Source organism: Homo sapiens, chromosome X (genome assembly GCF_000001405.40).
Source record: "Homo sapiens chromosome X, GRCh38.p14 Primary Assembly".
In the NCBI taxonomy this organism is placed as follows: domain Eukaryota; kingdom Metazoa; phylum Chordata; class Mammalia; order Primates; family Hominidae; genus Homo; species Homo sapiens.
Genome location: NC_000023.11, coordinates 129,579,696 through 129,601,799, shown reverse-complemented (window position 1 = coordinate 129,601,799; position 22,104 = coordinate 129,579,696). Strand labels below are relative to the sequence as shown.

General features: G+C 43.2%; 1 protein-coding gene across 3 annotated transcripts in view, besides 2 other annotated features; it reads right to left on the bottom strand.

Moving 5' to 3' along the window:
• Nucleotides 208–708: an enhancer, noted in NCBI's record as "H3K4me1 hESC enhancer chrX:128735069-128735569 (GRCh37/hg19 assembly coordinates)". NCBI's record gives its function as "activates a minimal SCP1, AML or CMV promoter by ChIP-STARR-seq in primed H9 embryonic stem cells {active_cell/tissue: H9 hESC(primed)}" and the evidence as "EXISTENCE:reporter gene assay evidence [ECO:0000049][PMID:30033119]".
• Nucleotides 709–1,209: an enhancer, noted in NCBI's record as "H3K4me1 hESC enhancer chrX:128734568-128735068 (GRCh37/hg19 assembly coordinates)". NCBI's record gives its function as "activates a minimal SCP1, AML or CMV promoter by ChIP-STARR-seq in primed H9 embryonic stem cells {active_cell/tissue: H9 hESC(primed)}" and the evidence as "EXISTENCE:reporter gene assay evidence [ECO:0000049][PMID:30033119]".
• The window catches only part of OCRL (OCRL inositol polyphosphate-5-phosphatase), a 52,298-nt gene continuing 39,437 nt past the window's right edge, over nucleotides 9,244–22,104 (bottom strand). For 2 of the 3 annotated variants that reach the window (NM_001318784.2, NM_000276.4), the window contains exons 19-24: nucleotides 17,433–17,456; nucleotides 14,682–14,798; nucleotides 13,537–13,621; nucleotides 12,787–12,914; nucleotides 11,844–11,955; nucleotides 9,244–11,654 (exon numbers count right to left, since the gene is read on the bottom strand). In NM_001318784.2, the coding sequence (NP_001305713.1) occupies nucleotides 11,530–11,654; nucleotides 11,844–11,955; nucleotides 12,787–12,914; nucleotides 13,537–13,621; nucleotides 14,682–14,798; nucleotides 17,433–17,456 (591 nt within the window). In that variant the 3' untranslated portion in view covers nucleotides 9,244–11,529. The remainder of the gene's footprint in view (nucleotides 11,655–11,843; nucleotides 11,956–12,786; nucleotides 12,915–13,536; nucleotides 13,622–14,681; nucleotides 14,799–17,432; nucleotides 17,457–22,104) is intronic. The other variant, NM_001587.4, reaches the window with a different exon arrangement.

Here is a 22,104-nt window from a genome sequence, read left to right as displayed (position 1 = left end):
GCCATCTTCTGGCCAGGGATTAGTCTGTTTCTTCCCAGGTCACAACTGTGTTTCTCCCCGCCTCTCCAACTGCCTCGATTGATTCCATCGTTCCTTCCCAGCTGACCCCTCTCCAGAGAAGATCGAAGTCATTACCTTTCAGCAGTGAGATCACCTCCCAACCATTGTTGACACTTTCAAAATAACTTGAAACATTGATGGACAGTGAAAGAGGCAAGAGAGGAAAATGTGATTTAATTCTACCTGTGTTCAATGAAGAGTGCTGAAACTTCCATGAACTTTAGATACTTTTAACCTAGTTCTGAAAAAAAAAAGTTTTTGTTTTTGTGGACTTTTAAGGCCATAAGTAAGAGACTGTAAGGAGAAAAGTCAACCGAATTTCCCAAAATAGAAATGATCATGAAATAAGAAAAGTAACTGCAGCTTTAAATACCAATTTTATTATACAACTGGAAACCGTCATTCTCCTCTGCCATCTAGTGGCCACAGCTACAATCAGAAAACGATCCTTGCTCTTCAAAGCCAGGGCCACCGTTAGAGGTAGAGGGGTATAGCCCATTGTTGTCAAATGGCCTTTACAAGTGTGCTTGGCCCGTGGACATGCCTTAGAACTCCATGCTCCACGGTGCTGCCTCCGAGGTGCACAGTCAAGATGGGACCTTTGCTGCCCAGCTGTGTCAGCAGCTGGAGGACAGATGCCTGCGGGTGCGAGGGAGAGGGCAGGCTTGTGATGTGAGGGAGCTGCGGTGAGCGACTGTGCTGGCAAGGCCCTGTCCAGCCGCCTATGTGCTTGAGCAGGACACTGTGTTCATTCATCCCAACACACAGAAGTGCCTTTCTTTCATGAAATAATGTTTTCCTTAATCTTTTTCTGATTATAAAAGTCATACATCTTCATTGTAGAGCATTTAGAAAACCAGACATATAAATAAGAGTAAAAAAAAAAAAAAATTGAGATTGGCTCCAGAGAGTGGCTTGGGGGCTTTATCCTAATCTCCATCAGCACCCCCATAGTGACTCTGAATATAGATGCAGTGTAAGGCAAAACCCTGCTTGCTAAGCAAAGGCCATCTTGCAGCTTCAAGACGAATCCCCTAGCCTACCTTTCGATGGTTTCTAAACCCTCCTATGTAGACATTCTGAAGCCACGACTGCCCATGATGCCACCCTCTAGGGGTGACTGCTATTAACAGTTTGGAGAATGGACTTCCACTATTTTTGTGCCTATGTATTATCTTTATATCTGATATTTTAAATTTAGGAACATTAGGTACATACCTACTTATATGCTGCCTTTTCCACCTCATGTTATATCCTAACATTTTTCCACATCACAATTCCTCAAAAACATTATTTGAAAAGGCGCCATAATATATCCATAAACATCTACAATGTGTTTACCCTTCTTCTGGTGATGAAGGTTATGTAAATTGCTTTGTTTTTTGTGCTAATGAGTATGTTGAGATGAACAGGGGTGGACTTACGCCATTGCGCTCCTCTAGGGTGATTTCCTAGAAGTGAAATTACGAGTGTGAATGCTTCCAGGCTCTTAATGCATGTTGCCACATTGCTTTTAGAAAGGTGACACTTATTTACTCTTGTCCAAGCAGCAGGCGGGCTTGTTTTTCCTTGCCTTTGCCAACACTGGAATAATCAATGATGAAGATTACTGGATGCCAGGCATCAGGCTAGCTGCTGGAGATATGATAGTAAGGGGAGGAAAAGATGTGGTCTCTGCCTCAGCAGCGTTCCTGAGCTGGTGGGAGAGAGTGACCTTGATCAAATAATAAATGTGTAATTACAAAGTGAAGGAGAGGAAAGGGTGCAAGGAGAGCGTGTCACAAGGACATGTTACAGCCTAGGCTAGGAGGTGGCCAGGGAAAGCTCCTCAGAGAAAGTGTTGTTTTCGCAGAGACTGAGGCCTTGGGAGGAGTTGGCTCTGTGGTGAGAGGGAGCAAGGAGCAGACAAGGACAGAAGTCCAGTCTGAAAAAATGGGGGATGGGTCTACGGCCATACCACCGTGAATGTGCCTCATCTCATCTGAAAGAATGGGGGATGGCAGGATGTGGGAGGAGGCTTGAGTCCATGACAAGCAGACAAGCCAAGGCTTGTGGGTCCAGGTAAGAATTCTGGGACCCAGAGAGGGGTGATGTGATCAGACTTGCCTTTGGAAAATCACTTAAGATAAAAAAAAAATGTTAATCATGGTAAAAAGCACAAAACAGGGGCCAGGCACGGTGGCTCATGCTTGTAATCCCAGCACTTTGGGAGGCTGAGGGCAGATCACGAGGTCAGGAGTTTGAGACCAGCCTGGCCAACACAGTGAAATCCTGTCTCTACTAAAAATACAAAAATTAGCTGGGCATGGTGGCGGGTGCCTGTAATCCCAGCTACTCGGGAGGCTGAGGCAGGAGAATCGCTTGAACCTGGGAGGCGGAGGTTGTAGTGAGCCAAGATCGCGCCACTGCACTCCAGCCTGGGTGGCAGAGCTAGACTCAAAAAAAAAAAAAAAGCACAAAACATAAAATTGATCATCTTAGCCATATTTAAGTGTAGAGTTCAATAGTGTTAGGAGTATTCACATTGCTATGCAATGAATCTCCAGAACATTTTCATCTTGCAAAGCTGAAACTGTATACCCATCAAACAACTGCCCATTTCCCCAATCCCCAGCCCCTGGTAACACCATGCTTCTTTTCTCTATGGATTTGACTATTCTAGGGACCTCATAGAAGTAGAATCATACAGTGCTTTTTGGGACTGGCTTATTTCGTTTAGCATAATGTCCTCAAGGTTGATCCATGTAGCAGCATGTGTCAGAATTCCTTCCTTTTTAAGGCTGAATCATATTCCATTGTATGTAGAGAACTAACACATTTTGTTTTTCTATCCATGGACATTTGGGGTGCTTCCATCTTTTGGCTATTGTGAATAATGCTGCTAGGAACATGGGTGTGCAAATATAGCTTTGAGACCCTGCTTTCAATTCTTTTGGATATATCTCTAGAAGTGGGATTGCTGAACCATATGGTAGTTCTAGTTCTAATTTTTTAATAAACTTTGAGAATCAATTTTAAAAAGCAAATTTAACAAGGCTGATTTTGTTGCCTACAAAACAATAGAAAATAACAGTACTGTGTGGTTGCTAAAAACTATTATCTTCTTGGATTACATTAATATAATTCAGTAAGTCCCCCCCTACCACATGAACTCCTCTAAAGTTAATAGAGCTCAGAATGAATAATTAAATGTATATACATTTCAGGAACACTTATTGGATACACTTATGCTTTAACAGACAATCTTTATTTATTAGCCAAACATCATTGAACACTTACTCTCTGCAAGGCATTGTGGGGAAACTAAAATACGCCCAGCTTGGTTCCCACTCTCCTGAAGCTTCCAGTCCCAAAGGGGCAACAACATCCTTTGGTATGTAGTGTGTTAAAATAGTGGTACAGAGGGCAGGTTCTAGGAGTTCGGGGGAGGGGGGTGGTGGGCAGGGGTTGTGGGAAAAGGCTTCCTGGAAGAGGTGACATTTGGGTTTGATGGGGTTTGGGCAGGTGGAGAGGTGGGGGCTGGAGGGTTCCAGGTGGCTGGTACAGACCACCGAGCCAAAGCAGAGAGTGCGCATGAGTTTAGGGAAGGGAACGGCATGAGAAGGTCGAGTGGGAGACTCAGCCTGAGAGGTGGGTGGAAGAGACTAAGGAGAGCTTTGCATGCCAGGCAGAAGGATTGGAACTTCTGTGGCAAGTGGGCTGGGGGGCCAGCAGGGGTCTGGAATAGGGGAGAGACATCAAAACAGTGCAGTGATGTGTACAGGGAGAGAAACTGGCAACTGAGAAATTAGTTAGAAAGGAGTTAAATACATCAGGCGATTTAACTCCTTACATGAGGCAATGAGTGTTTGAATTTTATTGGTGGGGGGGTGGGGCAGGAGTTGGAGGGGCTGGGAAATGCGCAGTGGAAAGGAGGGGCCAGCTAGAGACTGCGGTTGAGCTGATCTCGGCCCCTTTTCCGTGGAGGTCCTTCCTTCCTCCCTCCTTCTTCTTTCTTGCTTTCTTCCCTTTTTCTCATCTTCCTCCCTCTTTTCTTCCTTCCTGCCCTTCTTTCATCCATCTTTCCTTTTTTTCCTTCTTTTAAAAAAATATTGGCCAGGTGCAGTGGCTCACACCTGTAATCCCAACACTTTGGGAGGCCAAGGCAGGCTGATCACCTGAGATCAGGAGTTCAAGACCAGCCTGGCCAACATGGTGAAAGCCCGTCTCTACTAAAAATAAAAATACAAATAAATTAGCTGGGTGTGGTGGCACGCGCCTGTAGTCCCAGCTACTAGGGAGGCTGAGACAGGAGAATCGCTTGAACACAGGAGGTGCAGGTTGCAGTGAGCCAAGATCGCGCCACTGCACTCCAGCCTGGGCAACAGAGTGAGACTCCGTGTCAAATAAAACAAAACAAACAAAAATATTATGTCTGTCTTGTCTTGTAACGACCAGTCTCACCCATTTTGGTTTCCTTCAGAACCCTGCATGGTAGCCTGCACTTGGCAGGTGCTGGATAAATATTTGTTGAATTGCAATTGGTAACTGATTAGAAAGTGGGGCAGGGGCCAAAAATAACCAAAAGCTTAGGCCTGGGTGATGGGAGAGAGGAGGATGCCAGGAGAAGCTGGTCAAGGTCAAAGAGAAGTTGAATTTGACCTGCCAGCAGGCAATCTAGCTGACATGAAATCTTGGGATGTAGCTAGAAGGGATAGGGGTTTTAAGAAGCACCCTCACCTTCATGCCCACTCCAGCTGGGGAGACAATGGCTGTGTTTAAGAGCACAAATTTTGGGCTCAGAAGTCATTTTCTGGTCAGCCACTAGCCGAGTACCAAGTTATGCTGTCTCTCTGAGCCTCAGTTTTCTCACCTATAAAAGTGGGCTAATGGCCGGGCATGGTGGCTCACACCTGTAATCCCAGCACTTTGGGAGGCCAAGGCGGGTGGATCACGAGGTCAGGAGTTTCAGACCAGCCTGGCCAAGATGGTGAAACCCTGTCACTACTAAAAATACAAAACTTAGCCAGGCGTGGTGGCACGTGCCTGTAATCCCAGCTACTCGGGAGGCTGAGGCAGGAGAATAGCTTGAACACGGGAGGTGGAGGTTGCAGTGAGCCGAGATTATGCTACCGCACTCCAGCCTGGGTGACAGAGCTAGACTCCGTCTTAAAAAAAAAAAAAAAAAGTGGGATAATGTAGTACTTTATCAGGCTATCGTAAAGGCAAAAGTGATGTTAAATGTATTAGTATCTGGGATAAATGACAGCTAGAGTTATTAGTTATTACTCTTCCTAAGGTTAGGAGAAGGAGCATACAGAAGTCACATCACGTCACTTCCCTGAGTAAAGCCAGCCATGGCTCCCTGTGGTGTCGAATGAAATGCAAGCTCCTGCCTGGGGTTCCTCAGGCCCTCTGTGATCACGTTCCTGCTCATCAGTTGTCCAGCAAGTCCTGTCCCTCACAGAGTTCTGCCTGGCTGTCCCCTGAGCACAGCCAGCTGTTTTGCTGCCTTAGGGCCTTTGCATTTCTCTTTTCCTTTGCTCAGAATGTCTTTTGCCAGATCTTGCACGTGTGGCTCTTTTTGGGGGTATTCAAATCAAGATACGGTGTCTTGGCTTCCTGAGGTTTAAGTCTCAGCTAAAACATCACCTCCTCAAATAAACTTTTCCTGACCAAGGCCCCCCGCTGTACCCTCGAGTGCATCCCCGTTTGATACTCTCCACAGTACTTGTCAGGATCTGTAGTGACCTTGGGTACTGTTAATTTGCATGTCTGTCCACCCTCATCCCTGCCCTGCCCTCTTGATGAAGGCACCATGAGAGCGGCAACCTTGTCTGGTTTAATTCTAGATCCCCAGCACCTTGAACAGCACAGGGCGCACAGGAGCCACTCAACAAATACTTGTCAAGTGAATAACCCATACTGAGATGTAGGAGGAGGAGTGATGGTTGATGGGGAAAAGTCCAGAGAGGGTGGAGGAGAAGGGCTCAAAAGTGCAGGTGGAAGAGCTGGTCTTGGCGAGGAGGACCGCTTATTCTCAGACAGATGGAAAGGGGGAGGGATGAGGTTAAGCTGAAGACATTTTGATGTGCAGGGGGCAAGGCTGTTTTGACATTTTCACAAAGTAAAGGGTACAGTCACTTGCTGGGAGCTGAAGGGCAGCAGAAGCGGGTTCTGGGCCTGGAGGCCCATGGAGGGCTTGGGAATAATTGCACTAGCTGCCATTTATTTAGCACTTAGGCACCAGGCACTGTTCCAAGGCCTGGAAATGTAGTATCTGATCTCATCCTCATGATGATACTATGAGGAAAGGTGCTATCATTACTTTTAAGATGTGGAAACACCTTCAATACGTACAATTTGTCTTCTCAATTATACCCAATAAAGCTGGAGAGAAAAGACATGGAAACCAAGGCACAGAGACGTCAATTAACTTTTGATCAGGGTCACACATCTAGAAGTGGCAGAGCTGGGATTTGAACTCAGGCAGTCTGGTCATTAGAGCCTATGTGAAGAACCACTATAGCTTCCTGCCTCCCCAGGCCCCGTGGAGCAGGTACGTGAGGTCATCAAGAGAGGAAGAGGAAGATTGTGGAAGAGTACATGGCAAGCCCAGGGGCAGTCAGCCAGCATGCTATACCAGGAAGCCCAGGAATGAGGGCAGAGAGTCAATGGGACAGGGCGGGTGACTTAGGGTTAGGCACAGCAAAGATGGGGACTGAGGCAAGAAAGAGAGAGGAAGGAGTTTTCTGGGTAAACAGCACATGCAAAGGCCCTGAGGCTGGAAAGAGTTCAGCTCACTGGGAGGAGTAAAAGGACAGTATCAGAGTATATTGGCAGGGGTGAGGAAGGGTTATGGTAGGCAGAGGTCAGATCCTTTAGGGTGGTATTCTCAAAGTGTGGTCCTGCATCAAAATGCTCTTGGGTCCTGATTTAGAATGCAGACTCCTGTGCCTCCTCTCAGACCAACTGACTCAGAATTTCTGGAGCCTAGGAATCTGCTTTTTAACAATGTATCCAGGTGATTCTTCTGCACATGAAGATTTGAGACCCATTGATGCAGGGCCTGGTGGGCCATGGCGAAGCTTAGGTTTCATTGTAAATGTCGCTGAAGGGTTATCAACAGGGGAGGGATGAGACTGATGTAATTAAGTCATGCTGCCTGCTGCGTGGAAAATGGATTGGAGGGCAGCAAAGTTAAAAAGACCAGGCAGGGCATGGTGGGCTCATGCCTCTAATCCCAGCACTTTGTGAAGCCAAGGTGGGAGGACTGCTTGAGCCCAGGAGTTTGAGACCAGCCTGGGCAACACAGGGGGACCCTACCTCTACAATTATTTTTTTTTTAATTAGCCAGGCTTGGTAATGTGCGCCTACAGTCCCAGCTACTCGGAGGCTGAGGTGGGAGCATCGCTTGAACCTGGGAAGTCAGGCTGCAGCAGTGAGCCGATCATGCCACTGCACTCCAGCTGAGGCAACAGAGTAAGACCCTGTCTCAAAAAAGAAAAAAAAGAGAGAGAGAGAGAAAGAAGACTAGGCAGGAGGCCATGACGACACCCTAAGAAGGGATGATGGTGGTGGCCTTGACCAATAAAATTGGCAGTGGGGGTGATGAAAAGCAGACGCGTGGGGCACGTTGCTGAGGTGGTCGGTCGGTAGGAAAGAGAGAAATCAAGGCTAACTCCTAGATGCTTAGCCCCAGCAACTGGGCAGATGGTGTTGACATTCTCTGAGCTGAGGGAAGACAGGTAGAGGATCTAGGTTGGGTGGTAGTAAAAGAACCAGAAGTAAAAGAATTCCACTTTGGACGTGTGAAGCTTGACATGCCTGTGAGACATCTGAGGGGAGATGCCAGCTAACTAATTGGATATACTGGGCAGGAACTCGGAAGAGAGCTATGAGGTGGAGACGTAACATTTGGAATCAGGGGTATTACAGACATTTACAGCCACGGAAATTGATAAGATGCCACCAAAGGAATTAATGGGCAAGCAGAGTAGAACTGCTTGAAAAAACAAATGCCACTATGCCATGCAGTGTCACTAACCTAAGTAACCTTAGGTCAGTCATTGTCCCCTCTGAGACTTTCCCTATCCAAACAATGAGATTGGATTAGGTCACCACTAAGGTTCTCTCCCTAACATTTAGTGATGCCACTGTTGCAATGTGTGGCTTTTACATTATGAGGCTACACCAAGAGCCAGTTCTTCAACTTGCCCTGCAATCAGAAAGGTCCTAATGGGTCTCCTATAACAGAAGCCTCACAGCTGGGGATGCCATTTCCTCTCTAACCTCTGGAAAGACTGACCACCTGCCTGCTATTCTCATTGCCTGCTACTATGTAAAAACTTCTGGTGTCAGTCTCCATCTGCTGGGGGGAAAATCACTCTCAGAAAGAAACACCTTCTCCTGCCAAGGCTTTGGGTGGGGCTTTGAAAGTTGTTTATGACAACACTGAGTCAGCACATTCATCAGGGTCAAGCTCACAGTTGGAGGGAATTGGAAGAGGGCCTTAGTAGAGAAGAAACCTCCAGCTGAGGCTTCTTCAGTCTCAAAGGGAATGGAATCAGAATCCACAAATTCATAATGGAGATTGGCAGGGAAGCATTGGCACCATGCTCAAATCAGCGGTTTCCTCCCAACGTGTTAGGCAGTTCAGATTAGAACAACAAAAAAGTACTAAATTTATGGACTTGATCACCCCAAGAAGTCATAAAAGTTCAAAACTGGTTTTCAAAAGCTGCAAAATAGGATTATGTGAAAACAAGCTCTTTGGGGAAGCGCGTCTAAACTACTGAGACTACTGAGCAGGGGTAGCTGGGTTCTCCCCAGATGTGTATCTTAGGGTTTGTTTCTGGGGCCGGAGGGATCACAGATCTGACCTAGTGTGACATTTACATGCATTAAGAATCAACATCCTTTCCTCTAATTGAGTTGTTTTGTTGCCTGAATCCTTAGGGTTAAAATAAGGGTACTTGGCTGGCCTCTGAAAGTACAGGACACCTTTATTAGCCTCTGAAAACGCATGGTTTCTTCTCATCTCTGAGGGTGAATATACTAAGAATTCTTATAAATGGTATTTCCCTGTAAGACAGGTGATGACAGTGCAGGCACAGCTGATGGGGACTGCAGTCAAGTCGAATGGAACCCAGTGACACATAAGCCCTCCCTTCTGAGTGCTTCCTCACCAAAATCACACTTTGCTTTTTCACACAACATATATTTATTCAGAAAAAAATTTGCAATAAATTATAATAAAAAAGATGACACGAAATATAGAATCCCACTAGCAGCTTTGCTTAGTGATCAAGACGTTTTTGGGAAATATAACAAACAATTACAGAATAAGAAAACAGTGAAAGGGAGACTAATGCAATGTCACCACATGGATTTGAACCATTTCTTCCCTAAGACAGCAGGTGCAGAGTCTTTCCCTACCAGCTGAATCCGAAATCCTTACTTCAGAGCAGCTACAAATTAGTACCTTAGAGGACTTGGCAATTACAGGTTGGGGTGCTGGAATAGCCATGGTAGGGAAGCAGATTTCTTCTGTCTGGGTCTACATCTTGTCTCCTCTACCTAGAGATTGTCTAAAACTCTCAACTCTGTATATGTTCCAGGATGAGCTGAAAAAAGGTCGAGGCAGTACACCAACTTAGTGTTTTGATCTGATGTAGAAAGAGATAGGATACTGCATACGTGCAGCACAGAGCCTCCACTAACCACACCCTTGATCACCCAAAGATCCCAGGTCAGTGATATGCTAGAAAACAAGCCCAGGAAAGGTATTTCCCTGTGGTATGACCCTACCCCAGTGTCTATCATCTGCCTCTTTTTGTGATCACTTTCTGGCCTTGCGGAGATGACAAACCTGTTCTGCTCTCAGTCTTCCATTAACTAAGTTCAACACCTAGCCCCTGACCTATCATACCTCCAGATCTGTGGCACCAGTAACTTGACTCCTATTGCTTTAACTCTCAATCAGGAAAGGGTTTAGCCATATTGCAGAATACGTACCTTCCCCCCCACCCCCACCAAGAAACAGGAGAAATCACTGGTGGTGCCTTGGATATGCTAGAAATGTCACAGAGTCAATGCCCAGGATTGTACATACAGCCTGTACGTTATGCTCCTTGCAATTAATGTAAACAGGCAAGGGTGGTTGTAACAAAAGAAAACCAGGAGGAACCCAACTGCATCAGGCAGTTTTGCAGTCAGTGGTTGGTGGCTTGTTTGTCAACCAATATAGATTAATTTATTTTAAAAAAAGGCTGTACCACAGAGCTTGAATAAATGAAAAGCTCAGAGGGTCATCTTGTATGGGAGAGGTAAGGTGCTTGGTTGGTCCTGTTGGCCAGTCTCTTTACACAACACTGGATATGGTGACTGGGAGCCAAGGGGAGTCTCTAAACCCTTTATGTGAAGGAGCTGGTTGTAGAGCCCAGAGTCAGTCCTGCTGAGGAAGGAGGTGACATCTGCCCTTGGTATTTCAGAAGACCAGAGAATGGATTCTAAGGGTCATCCACAATACCTTTGCTGTGGGAAGGAGCAATAGCTCTAGATGGGCCTGCCTGAGGTACAAGACTTCCTCTTTTACTGTGGGGCCAGTGTTGCTCTGGAGGTGGATGTCTAGGCAGGAGATGGGTCTCAGAGACACCCAGGATTAGTCCTTGTGTAAAATTTGAATAATAACAGGAAAAGGATAGTGGGAAGCAGGACCTGTCAAACATGAATGCTCTCACTCTTCAGATACTCAAAGTGCTTCCATTCTGATTGTGATTCTCTCTCATCGATGAGATGCCATCTCTAATAGTCCCTACAGTTATGCTACTAAATGTGATCTAAGAGAATATGGTTCCACCCAGTGTGGAGCCATGAAAAGGCCAATGTTACAGAGACATAAAGATGCCATTGTAGTAGAAATGCACAAATGCATGTAATAACTGCACGCAGACAGTGAATTCACTGTTGAGGACACCCAAGGAGTCACTAGCCTCACTCAGACTTCGTTCAAAGTGACAGAACGAGGGGAGTGGAGTGCAAAGGAGTGATCCAGGAAGGGGTGGGTCAAAAGTGCAAAACAAAGGACTCTAGACAAGTCTCAGCTACAGCAAGTAGTGCTTGTAGGCCTAGAATGGGAAGATCTCAGAATCTAGGCCTAGGGTACTAAGGACAATCATGACAATTGGGTAGGAGGGCAACAAACACATCCCTAGGTGAAGGAGTGTAAATACAGATCTTTTTGCCTTATAAAGAGAAAACACAAAAACACCAAAATATGGTAACTTTGGCTTGGCAATATAAGTCTAAAAGTATTTTTCTGTGTAGGATATGGTAAAGGAGGGATTAGGAAACGCTCTTCCTTTTTACTATAAACAGAACTTGAAATTCTGCAATAGACCCTTCCTGTGGCATGACTTTTTAAATCATTCTGAAATACTTGGAGCCCGAGATCGTCTGCTTCTAGAATATCAGAGAACAGTAAAAGCCTTAGTCTTCTTCGCTCCCAAGCAGAAAGCCCAGAAGGAACTGAATAGCACGCTGGCGGTCACTTGGAGTCTGTCTTGCCATAAGGTTGGGTGGAGGCCTCAGGAGAAGACTAGTGAAGAGAGTAGCTACAAGACGAGAGAAAGACAAGCGGAAACTTCTGTCAGACATAACCTAAGCAAAACCTCAGGGCTGGAGGGCCTGGGGACAAGGACTATTGACTGCCATGTGCCTGCATATGCAGTAAGGTATATACTGGATACAATGCACTAAGAGTATTCTCAACAAACGCCCCGTGTTGCATGAAGCACTCTTACCGATCATGTTGGCATTGACGCTATTGTATTCAGAGAATTTTAAGAGTTCTCGAAGGAATGCCATCAAGTAACGGAAAACATTTCTATGGCATCTCGGAAGCTGGGAGATCACCTGTTTTTAAAAATAGGGGCAGGCAGTGAGAAAAACAGGTGGAAGATGAAAGTAAGAGGAACTTACAGCTGCTGTAATAGTAGTCTATAATCCAACCCTTGCAGGACCCATTTCATCTGTCTAACTTCTATTATCTCCTCATGGCCAACACAATACCTTCCAAATTATAACTTCAAAGTAAGAGTGGCCGTGCTGTTTGGTCCCTGTCCACTCAATGACCAGGCCACGTGGTCATCACACATTCATACGCACACCCTGCCTCACAATAGGTCAGTGTTCATCTGTTCTTTTCCCATTTCCGTAGGCATGTAGCCACGGCACCTACCAAGCTGAATGGTTTTCTGTTCTTTTTTGTTTGAATGGTTTTCTTTACAATGTCACTTAGCATGGATGGGGACTCCTCTCAATACTCACTAGTCCAATTCACAGGTACTGTCAGCTACTGTGCATTAAAATCATTTCAGGATTAAAAACACACACCAAGAAGAGAAAAAGAAGAAAGGCTCCCAAGTGTCACCCATCCTTCCTGGTAATGTCAGCCAGAATTCCACGTACAATCAGCTTCACCAATTTACCCCAGAGTAGAGGGATCCACCCCACTATGTTTTCTGTAAACAGAAATAGGCCAATGGGAAAAAGGTGGCAAATATCGTAGGAAACAACACAACCTAAAATTTAAGGGTAGCAACTCTCAATGTTGGTGTCCTGCCATTAATAACAGATGCAGACCCATCCTACCAGACAGCTGGCTGCCTATCTGGCTCTGTAAAACTGACGACTTCTCTATGGGGCAATCTGCGTCAAACACATCCCCAGGTCAGTAGAACCCACCTGTCGGCAGATCCGGGGATCATAAGCAGAGTCAAGACATCGCTGATACAGCTCGTAACAGATGACTGGCTCTGGCAGGGCTTCCAAGAAAATGAGCAGTGCTTCAGCCACAGAGTGGTTGCTGCCAGCTGAATCAACTTAAGTCAAGGGAAAGGAGCTCCAGGAGAAAGGCCACACAGAGCCCCGACGAGCTCCTTTCCTCAAGCTCCTACAGGGACTGTTTCCCTCCTCTTATTCAGGGCACATTGATCCTAATGGGGGTTTGATATTTTATTGATTCAAGTGCCCTGCAGGTGAGTTGTTACAGAATTGGTCAAAGACTCTTGGCAGCTTTGGCCCAGCTTCAGGGTCAGGGGAATATAGCCTGCAGAGTGACAGTTGACACTGGAGCAGTCCTATAAACCAGGTGCCCATGTTTCCCATCCTTCTCCCTGCCCTGTCAACAGTACGTGTGGTGGCAGGAGTGACTGATCACCTGAAGGAGAATAGTACCAGTGCTGTGGCTTCTATGTCCCATGCTTTTAAGTCATTGTTATCTACCCCTTGCTTCCTTTTAGTAAGAGCTGGATATGGAAAGAGGTCAAAAGTTCCTGAAAGGAAATGAGAAACAAGTGGATAGTCAGTGGTTATCTTATAATAAAAGATATTACAAAGAAAATAAATATAGAACCACAAAAATCAAATATAGGTGCGAAGAAGAGTTTGATCAAGTACTCATCCAGCTTCTTAAGCTTTGGTCGCAAAGGATACGGATTGTCTCAGGAATGCTGGTATCCAGACAATCAATGATCTGCTGGAGCTCTTCCTGCATTCCAGGGGTCTGGAACAGGTCCTCCTACCAAAGAAGTCAGAATGAAGGGACAGGCAAGATAATCACTCCTGAGGTTATGATGATTACCCAAGGATCAGAAGAGCAGCAGGAAGCAAAAGGGAAGGGTGGTATGTGTGTTAATAATTACAAATGGAGGTGTGAAAATAACACATTTTTCCTTTAGCATTTCTCTAATCCATGTGAAATGTTATTTCAAATAGGAAAATGATCTTTTCAAAGGTTTTAGCCTGTACCTAATAAGGCAGGGGACTAGATGGCTAGAGCAGGAAACCAGGTGTTCTAATTCTAGCCTCCTTTAAAATTTTTTTTTATAGAGATGGGGTTTCACCGTGTTGCCCAGGCTGGTCTCAAACTCCTGAGCTCAAGCAATGCGCCCGTCTCTGCCTCCCAAAATGCTGGGATTACAGGCATGAGCCACCATGCCTGGCCTACTTGTAGCCTCTTGACAAGCAGCAGAAGGCAGAGTCCAAACAGAATAACCACATTCAAATGCTAGTACTACTGAACGCTGGGGAAGGAGGAAATCGCATGCTCATACTAAACCTTGCTTTCAAGTTACATTATTCGTCAGTAGGTAAGAGAACATTACCTTTCAATTTAGTCCCAAGAAATATCTCTTTTGGGGGCGAATGAGGTGGGGTGGCATTTTAGTTAGGATTTAAAAGAAAAATTAGGACCAAGTTAAAAAATGGGTTTAAAATCTGCTTTGGATTTTACAATCTCTAATGCCTACATGACTCATAGCCAAAGTAGGCATTATAGACTCAGGTGTGCAGCTGTCCAGGGAAAATGAGAGGGTAGCCAGGAGACAGGTGCTCTTAATTTGGTCCTGGCTCTGCCACAACTACACTTAGGCCTTTGTCTTAGTAAATAACTTACCTTTACATGCTTCAGCTGTGACATCTGTGACTAGGACACTTCCACCCACCCAGTCGATCTGACAGTGCCACTGTGTGCAGGTAGCTTGGGAAAGTTAAAAGCGCTATGCTGACGTGAGGTGTTGTGATTTCCTATAGTAGTTACACACCTTCCAAAGTTGTAGGGAAGGTCTACTCTCACTTACCTGGTGACAGGCGTATTTGAATAGGTGATCTACTAGAAGCCAGATCTCCTTGGGAACCTGAAGGGGTCTCTCACTGGCACCTTCATCCAAAGGAACCATTTGCAGAAGGGATTTCTCCTAATAGATGGAAAAGTATGAGAATCAAAGGGGTCTCAGAATAAAGACTTTGGTGTATAACTTAAAGTCCTTCAAATTCTGGTCATGCAGGTAAAATGTGATCTTCATCTCTTAAGATTTTCCATTTCTTCTCACTGGGGACACTCCTGGTCAGAAGGCACTTGATAGCGAGTCCCATAGTTAAAGGATGTCCTTTCCTAAATGCTTCACTTAATTGTTCTGCATTTCATTTGCGTTTATGATGTTTATTACGTGGATGCCTTGTGTTTAAATCCTTTCAAAGGTGACACTGAGAACCAGTGCTCCGGTGATACAGTCACAGTGGAGTCCATACAGCACTGGTGACTTGGGGACTATTAAATTACAATTGTCAATACAGTAGTTTGAGAGATCAAGGTCTACACTTAGGTTTTTGTTTATTTCTAACTTACTCTTCCTTCAGGTCTTACCACAGATACTGTTGTTTGTTTTCAATGTTGATTTAAATTAGCTTCTTTAGTTTTCAGGAATTAAAGACAACTCTCCACAACATTAGACCCACATATGTAAATACTTCAGGCTTGATGGAAGTTCTAATCTTAAGGTGCTAAAACTCGTAAGCCTTAAGGTCCAAAAATAGTAAACTGAATACAGCTAACCAAGAGGCAGAAATACCACGAAAAGTTTAAGGTCTGAGTCCAGAAGTTACAGTTTCTAGGAATAGCTCAGCCAAGATTTCTAGGGGCTTTTACTCCTTTCATCTATCTTTCTACTATCTGTTATATTCTTCTGAAAGAATTTTGTAAGAGAAAAACCCAGAAGTGACATAAATCAAATCAATCACTATATGTGAATTGGAAATGGCTAGGAAATAAACTCAGTTATCTTAGGTTCATGTAATCAAATATAAATTACATGAAAAAATGTTTGAAATAGTAAAGGCACCTGAAGGCACCCTTCATAAAAATCCCAGTGGAGAGAACCATGACCAATTTTTTTGCATCCTCCTCCCTCCCCCGCCTCTAGCTTGAGGTCATATATATTCTGTATGTTTAACTAAGAAATTCTTGCCTAACATTGTGCAACTTGTGAATTCCATCCACAACCCCCAGTCACGTAGCTTTAAAAGAAAAAAAAAGGAGCATGTCACTACTTTGACAGAGACCACATACACTACAGCCGAGCTGAGGTCTCTTCTTAACATTGTGTTCTTTAACAAGCACTGATGACCTTTAAAAGCTGCTGTGCCTTTCCAAGGGAATAAGAAAGAGAAGGGAGTGTGACAGTTGGTTACCATTTAAAATCTTTCTTTTTTTTCCCCACATTCAGTTTGCTTCCTTTCTTTCCCTGGGATTCTATCACTTGATATTCATGTTCCTAATAGTTGCCAGAATGTCTATCAATGGCTCATCCATTTACTTCTTTCCAGTTACAAATATCAAATCCAAGCATCCACATGGTATTTGAGACAAAACACTGTCCATCATGCACTCTGCTAACTCTCTGGACCAAATGCAGCACGTGTACTGATTCTTTAGCAGATGCCTCCAAACTTGCCATATAGAAATTATGCAGCACTGATTCATGTACTTTTTAAAAAGTCTGACATCCAACTGGAGCTTTTCCTGTACTAAGGCATTAAGGCAACACAAGGCACTGCCTAAGATAAAAAGACAGAACATGGACTGCTCTTAACAGGGAAGAGCTAGGAAGCACAGCTGTCTCAAACCTTGGTGGTTTAAAAAGGTTAATAAAGTGTCAGTAGATTATATACACCATCCACTATTCATTTTCAAATTCCTGTATGATAATATGGAATGCCACAGTTGTGTCTCCAAAGTCTAGAGAAAGATCATACACAGAAAATACTTGAATAATTTCACAAATTATCCTGAACTCTAATTTTCAAAGGAAAACCAAGGTACTTTGTCTTCTTTCAACAAGACACATTCAGCGCCTGATAAGCCCACACTCTGTAACCTTACTTAGTGTTAATAACTAAAGCATGAAAACAGTATACCATCCCCATCATCAAAAGGCATTAAATTCCACCAAGTGGGTACAGTGCATGACTTCAGCAAGTTTTTCAACCTTTCTGGGCCTTGGTTGTCTCATCTATTAGAATGGAGAAAATACCCTGTCTGAAGGTAGAGGCCTGAACCAGATGATCTTTTATGATCTTGTTCAGGTCCACGGTTCTATTCTATGCTCTATTTCTTGATCATATCTGTGTATTTTTTTCTGAAATTAATTGCTATGATCATTAACCTCAAATCATTTTTAATGCAACAGAAAGCTACTTCTTCAGGTTTTATTGTCATTGGAAATGGAGGACAGCTAACTGGTACCCCCCTCCAATTCATGAGCATTCAGATACATCAAGACGGCTCTGTAGTTACTTCTCATTTCAAAAATACAAATCTAGAACCTTGAGTCCTACTGTTTTTATGTACTGAGTCTCAATGACTTGACTGCTACAGTAAATATCTTTCCTGTACTTCAAACACACTTAAGGACAGCCGGCAGGACTTTAGGGGAGTCTCACCAAGTCAGAGGTCTCTGATATGGGAAAGCCTAGGGACAAATTCCAGGGACCACAGTTAAGTGTTAATCAAGCACAGGGAAACTCTCATAACCACCAATGGATTGCATTACCTTTTCTAGGAAGCTGTCTTCTTCCTGAGAGCGGAGCAGGAAAAGAAAGTCATTGACAGACAGAATATGATTAGAATTAATTTACAGAATTAGAAACAGATCAGTATTAGAACTCACTATCTTACCAGATATACATGCTTTAAACAGCTTTGAATTCTTCAAATAAATTATGATTGTTGAAAATGAAATACATTTTTCATACACAAAGTTTACTATACATTTTAAATTTTTGTGCAGTTTGAGAATATCACTCAAGAAATATGTGCAGTTCTAGACTTCAGTGCCCTTTGGCATCTGCCAACTGACCCAGCCAAATGCCCCTGATGTCTCTTCCTGTCTGCTGCTTGGAGGCAGGTGCATTGAGGTATATACCTCAATGAAAGAATATGGCTGTGGGCCCAACAGTGGCCATCTGGAAGGAGATGGTAAACCACTCTACTTTCCATTTTCATTCTTCTCACCCCAGCCAGTCTCCTAAGCAGCATCCCAGATTCCTTTCTATCTCCTCGTACCCAATCCCCTCCTCAAAGGCCCCCAGAGTGCCCAGATTTGAAGGTCCTTCTGAACTATAAATGAATTTCATTTCAGACCTTTGCGGATCAGAAGATCCATCATTATCCCATTTTTATTTTCCTATTGGGCATAAGAGAAAAAAAGAGAGGCAGGGGATAGGTAAGAAGGTATCTTTTTAATCTTCCTATCTTTTATGCTGTTATTACAATCCAATAATAATAGCAGCCATGATAACTACCACCACCACTTAGGGAGCATCTGTCATGTATCAGGAACTGTGCAAAGTGCTTATATACAGTCATTTAATCTGTACACATGTGCAAAGTAGATATTATTCCCATTTTACAGATGAAGAAACTGAGGCTCTGAAAGCTTAAATTATTTGCCCAAGGCCACACTCACTATTAGGTAGTAAGTGGCTGAATCAGGATTGGATCCCAGGTCTGACCAACTCCACAGTCATTATCACTATGTTCCGTTAGACAATTCAAAAAGGACAATGTGACTGCTTCCTGGACAGAGAGGTAGAGGAAAACTGTGAGAATGTATTCTCCATAACAGGCTAAGGACAGTGAGAAACCCCACTTAAAAGACAGCGTGGTTAATGGAAAGAGTATAGGCACTGGTGTTGGACAGGCTTGGGTACAAATCTTCGTTCCACCTCTTGGCAATTTTGTATAGCCCTCACACAAGTTACCAAACTTCATAGAGCCTCAGTTTCTTCATCTCTAAAATAGGGATAGTAATATTTACCTTGAAGCAGCCTAAAACCAATGGGTGATGGGGCAGTATGCCAGCAGAAGGTCTGGGTTCCTCAAAGTTCCTCATACCTCCCCAGTGACTCCCAACCTGGATTGTTTCGAATCTGACTATGGACCACTAAGCACTCAAGTCTAAATTACATGTCTTAGTTCTGCTAGGTAAAAGGAGAAATCCCAATCTTACTGTCTGAGATGCACAGGAGCTGGGAGTGGAGAGGGAGGAGGAAAAGTATGTGCTCCCTGGCATTCCTAGTGGTAATACTGAATGCATTCCTCCCACACTACTGTTATCCATGGGGATTAGGCGTTTTAATATTGGTAGATACTTCACGAATTAAACATGCTTTTGTGGGTTTATCTAGACTCTTAAATATCACATGAAATAAAGCAATTAGAATAGTCTTTATAAGGTACATATTTATAGTACTATAATTACGATACCTTTTAATGTCAAGTTGATTTTGAGTGCCCAACATCTGATACAATTTTAGACTAGAACCTCTTGTAAAATTTAGGACTTGTTATCAAATGAAGAATCTATCTGACACATTTTATATTTTTCCTCCCATGAATATCTAATACATGATATGAATAAAACTAGACAGAGATTTTGTATACTAACCTGTCGAACCAGGCTCTCAAAAAAGTTTTCTTTAAGCAGCAGCCATCCTCCAGTACAAGGCATTGTGCTAAAATGCCTTTGCAGGGGAAGGCAATGAGAAATGAGGATAAAGGAGAAAGACCTGGTTTGTCCCTGACTCTGATTTGCAACTGAGTTGGGGTGAGGAGTTCCAGAGTTTACAGACTGGTATTGTTATAATTCATGAATACGAGTTCTCAATAAATCATTGCTAGCCCTTTAAAAGACTCACAGAATTTTAAAGGGTAGAGATGGGGAGAGAATATTACAAGTGGAAGAGGCAGAAATAAACAAAAGGCACAGAGACAGTAAATCACAAATTGATATTAGGAAGAAGTTAGTCATCTGTTTGTGGGGGGCATGGAGAATGCCAAGAAAAATAGTGTGAAATAAATCTGAAAAGGTATGTTGAAGTCAGACTTAGGAGGACCTTGCATGACAGATTAAGGCATTTGGATTGTATTCAGCAGGCATGGGGAAGCCACTGACTACCTTTAAGCAAGGAAGTGATAGGCCCCAAAGCAGTAGTACAGAAAGATCAATCTGACAGCCCTGAATAGGAAAAAATGAAGGGCAGAGACAGAGACAGAGAGAGAGAGAGAGAGAGAGAGAGAGAGAGAGAAAGACAAAGGGATCATTCAAAGGCTACCGAGGTAGGTCAAGCAGAAGAAGGTAAACATCTTAATAATGGAAAATTTTATACACACACACACACACACACACACACAGGTGTGTGTATATATATATATATAATTTCTAAGTATATATATTAAAGGATATATATATATAATAAAAGGTATATACATACACTTACAAATGAATGAATACAAGAGAAAATTCTGAAAGAAGAATCAAAAGGACTTTGATTAAATACTGATGGAGGGACAAGAGATTTACTTCTCTAGGTACAGGCACAAAGAAACAACATAGAAATTACATTGAATTCAACCTTGGTCTCAATTTTGAAAACAGAAGCATCACTTAACCTTTATTAGTAAACAGCTTACTCCTATAATAATCCTAAGGTTTCTACTATGAATCACTTAGTTCAACCAATTTTAAAGAGCAGAGATGCCCATTCTCTGCAAAAGGCTATATATGGATTACATTTAAAAAGAGAACTTAGTTCAGGATTTCCCCAGTGGGACAACACTGGCACATAGCAAATGCAATGCAAATCATTCTTTACCCCAACATTCACCCTCAGAAGACTGTTCCCCGTGGTAAATGCAGCTAAAATAAAAGAGTCAATTAGAGGTGGAAGATGCAAATTTAAAAATAAAAAGCATAGCCGGGCACGGTGGCTCACGCCTGTAATCCCAGCACCTTGGGAAGCTGAGGCGGGTGGATCACCTGAGGTCAGGTGTTCAAGACCAGCCTGGCCAACACAGTAAAACCCCATCTCTACTAAAAAGGCAAAAATTAGCCAGGCGTGGTGGCGCGCGCCTGTAGTCCCAGTTACTCGGGAGGCTGAGGCAGGAGAGTCACTTGAACTGGGAGATGGAGGTTGCAGTGAGCCAAGATTGTGCCACTGCACTACAGCCTGGCCGACAGGGTAAGACTCCATCTCAAAAATAAATAAATAAATAGCCGAAAACTGAATGGAAAATGAAGTTCTAAAAAGGATTAGTTCATATGAAATAGAGAAGAAATACAAGCCATATACTTAACAGAGTAAGAAATGGATGGTTAGATTAGTAAGACAAAGTAAAAACATAGTGAAAAAAACACTACGGACAAATTAACAAGTTATTCCTGTTATTTCAAACTTTTGATATTGTTCTCCCAACAGATATGTCCCCAAGCAAATATAGTTTCTCTACCCATCCCTCAACTTTTTTCATCTCCGTATTTACAACTTAGCCACATCTGGCAAGTTCAAGTCTTGTCTCCTTTCAATTAGTCCATTCTACAAGTAACACCAGAATGTTCTTCCAACTATATCAATTTGCAACCTCATACTAATCAGCAAACCCTTCTGATGGTTCTAGATACCCTCTGGCTCATGCATAAACTTATCTATTGACTTCAAGACTCTCTACCACCTGCCCCATTCTCCCTAACCAGCTTCATACATTCTTATCCTTGATCTTCACTTGTCCCAGGGAAATCTTACAGTTTTTCATACATGGTCTTTTCACTTTCACCTTCTACCCTTTATTCAAGATGTCCTCTAAGCCTGGAAGAGCCTGCTCACCCACTATATTAATAAGTGTTTCTTAAGTACTTGGACTTGACTGAAAATACTTCTATAACTAACTCCAAATCACCTTCCTAGTTCACTTTATTCTTATGTGCTAAACTTATTTCTCAGTCATGTTAATGTTACATGTATCAAATATTCATTAAAATGAAAACAGGCTGATTCTGATTTCTATAGGGATTAGCTGGTCAGTCAATAAGCTTTTATAGCATATAAGGGCTTGAATAAACAACATAGGAAAGGAACCTATTGTTAATACAAACTACAACCTTCATAGCAGTCACTTTAAACGACTTTCCAAAATACTGACTTACCAAGCACACCAGACATTAGCCAGTAAAGGTGGTTAATGTTCAGATTATCTTTAACCAAACTCCCTATTAACCATGACTTAAAGTTTAGCCATATTTTATGTGCAAATATACTTTCATCACCACTAAATTATGGGAACTCACATAAACTCCATAATACTTTGTATCCAGTGTGTAATGAATCAATATTGAGGATTATTTGCTACTTAATATTCTAGTTAATATAACAGAAAAATCTATCTTA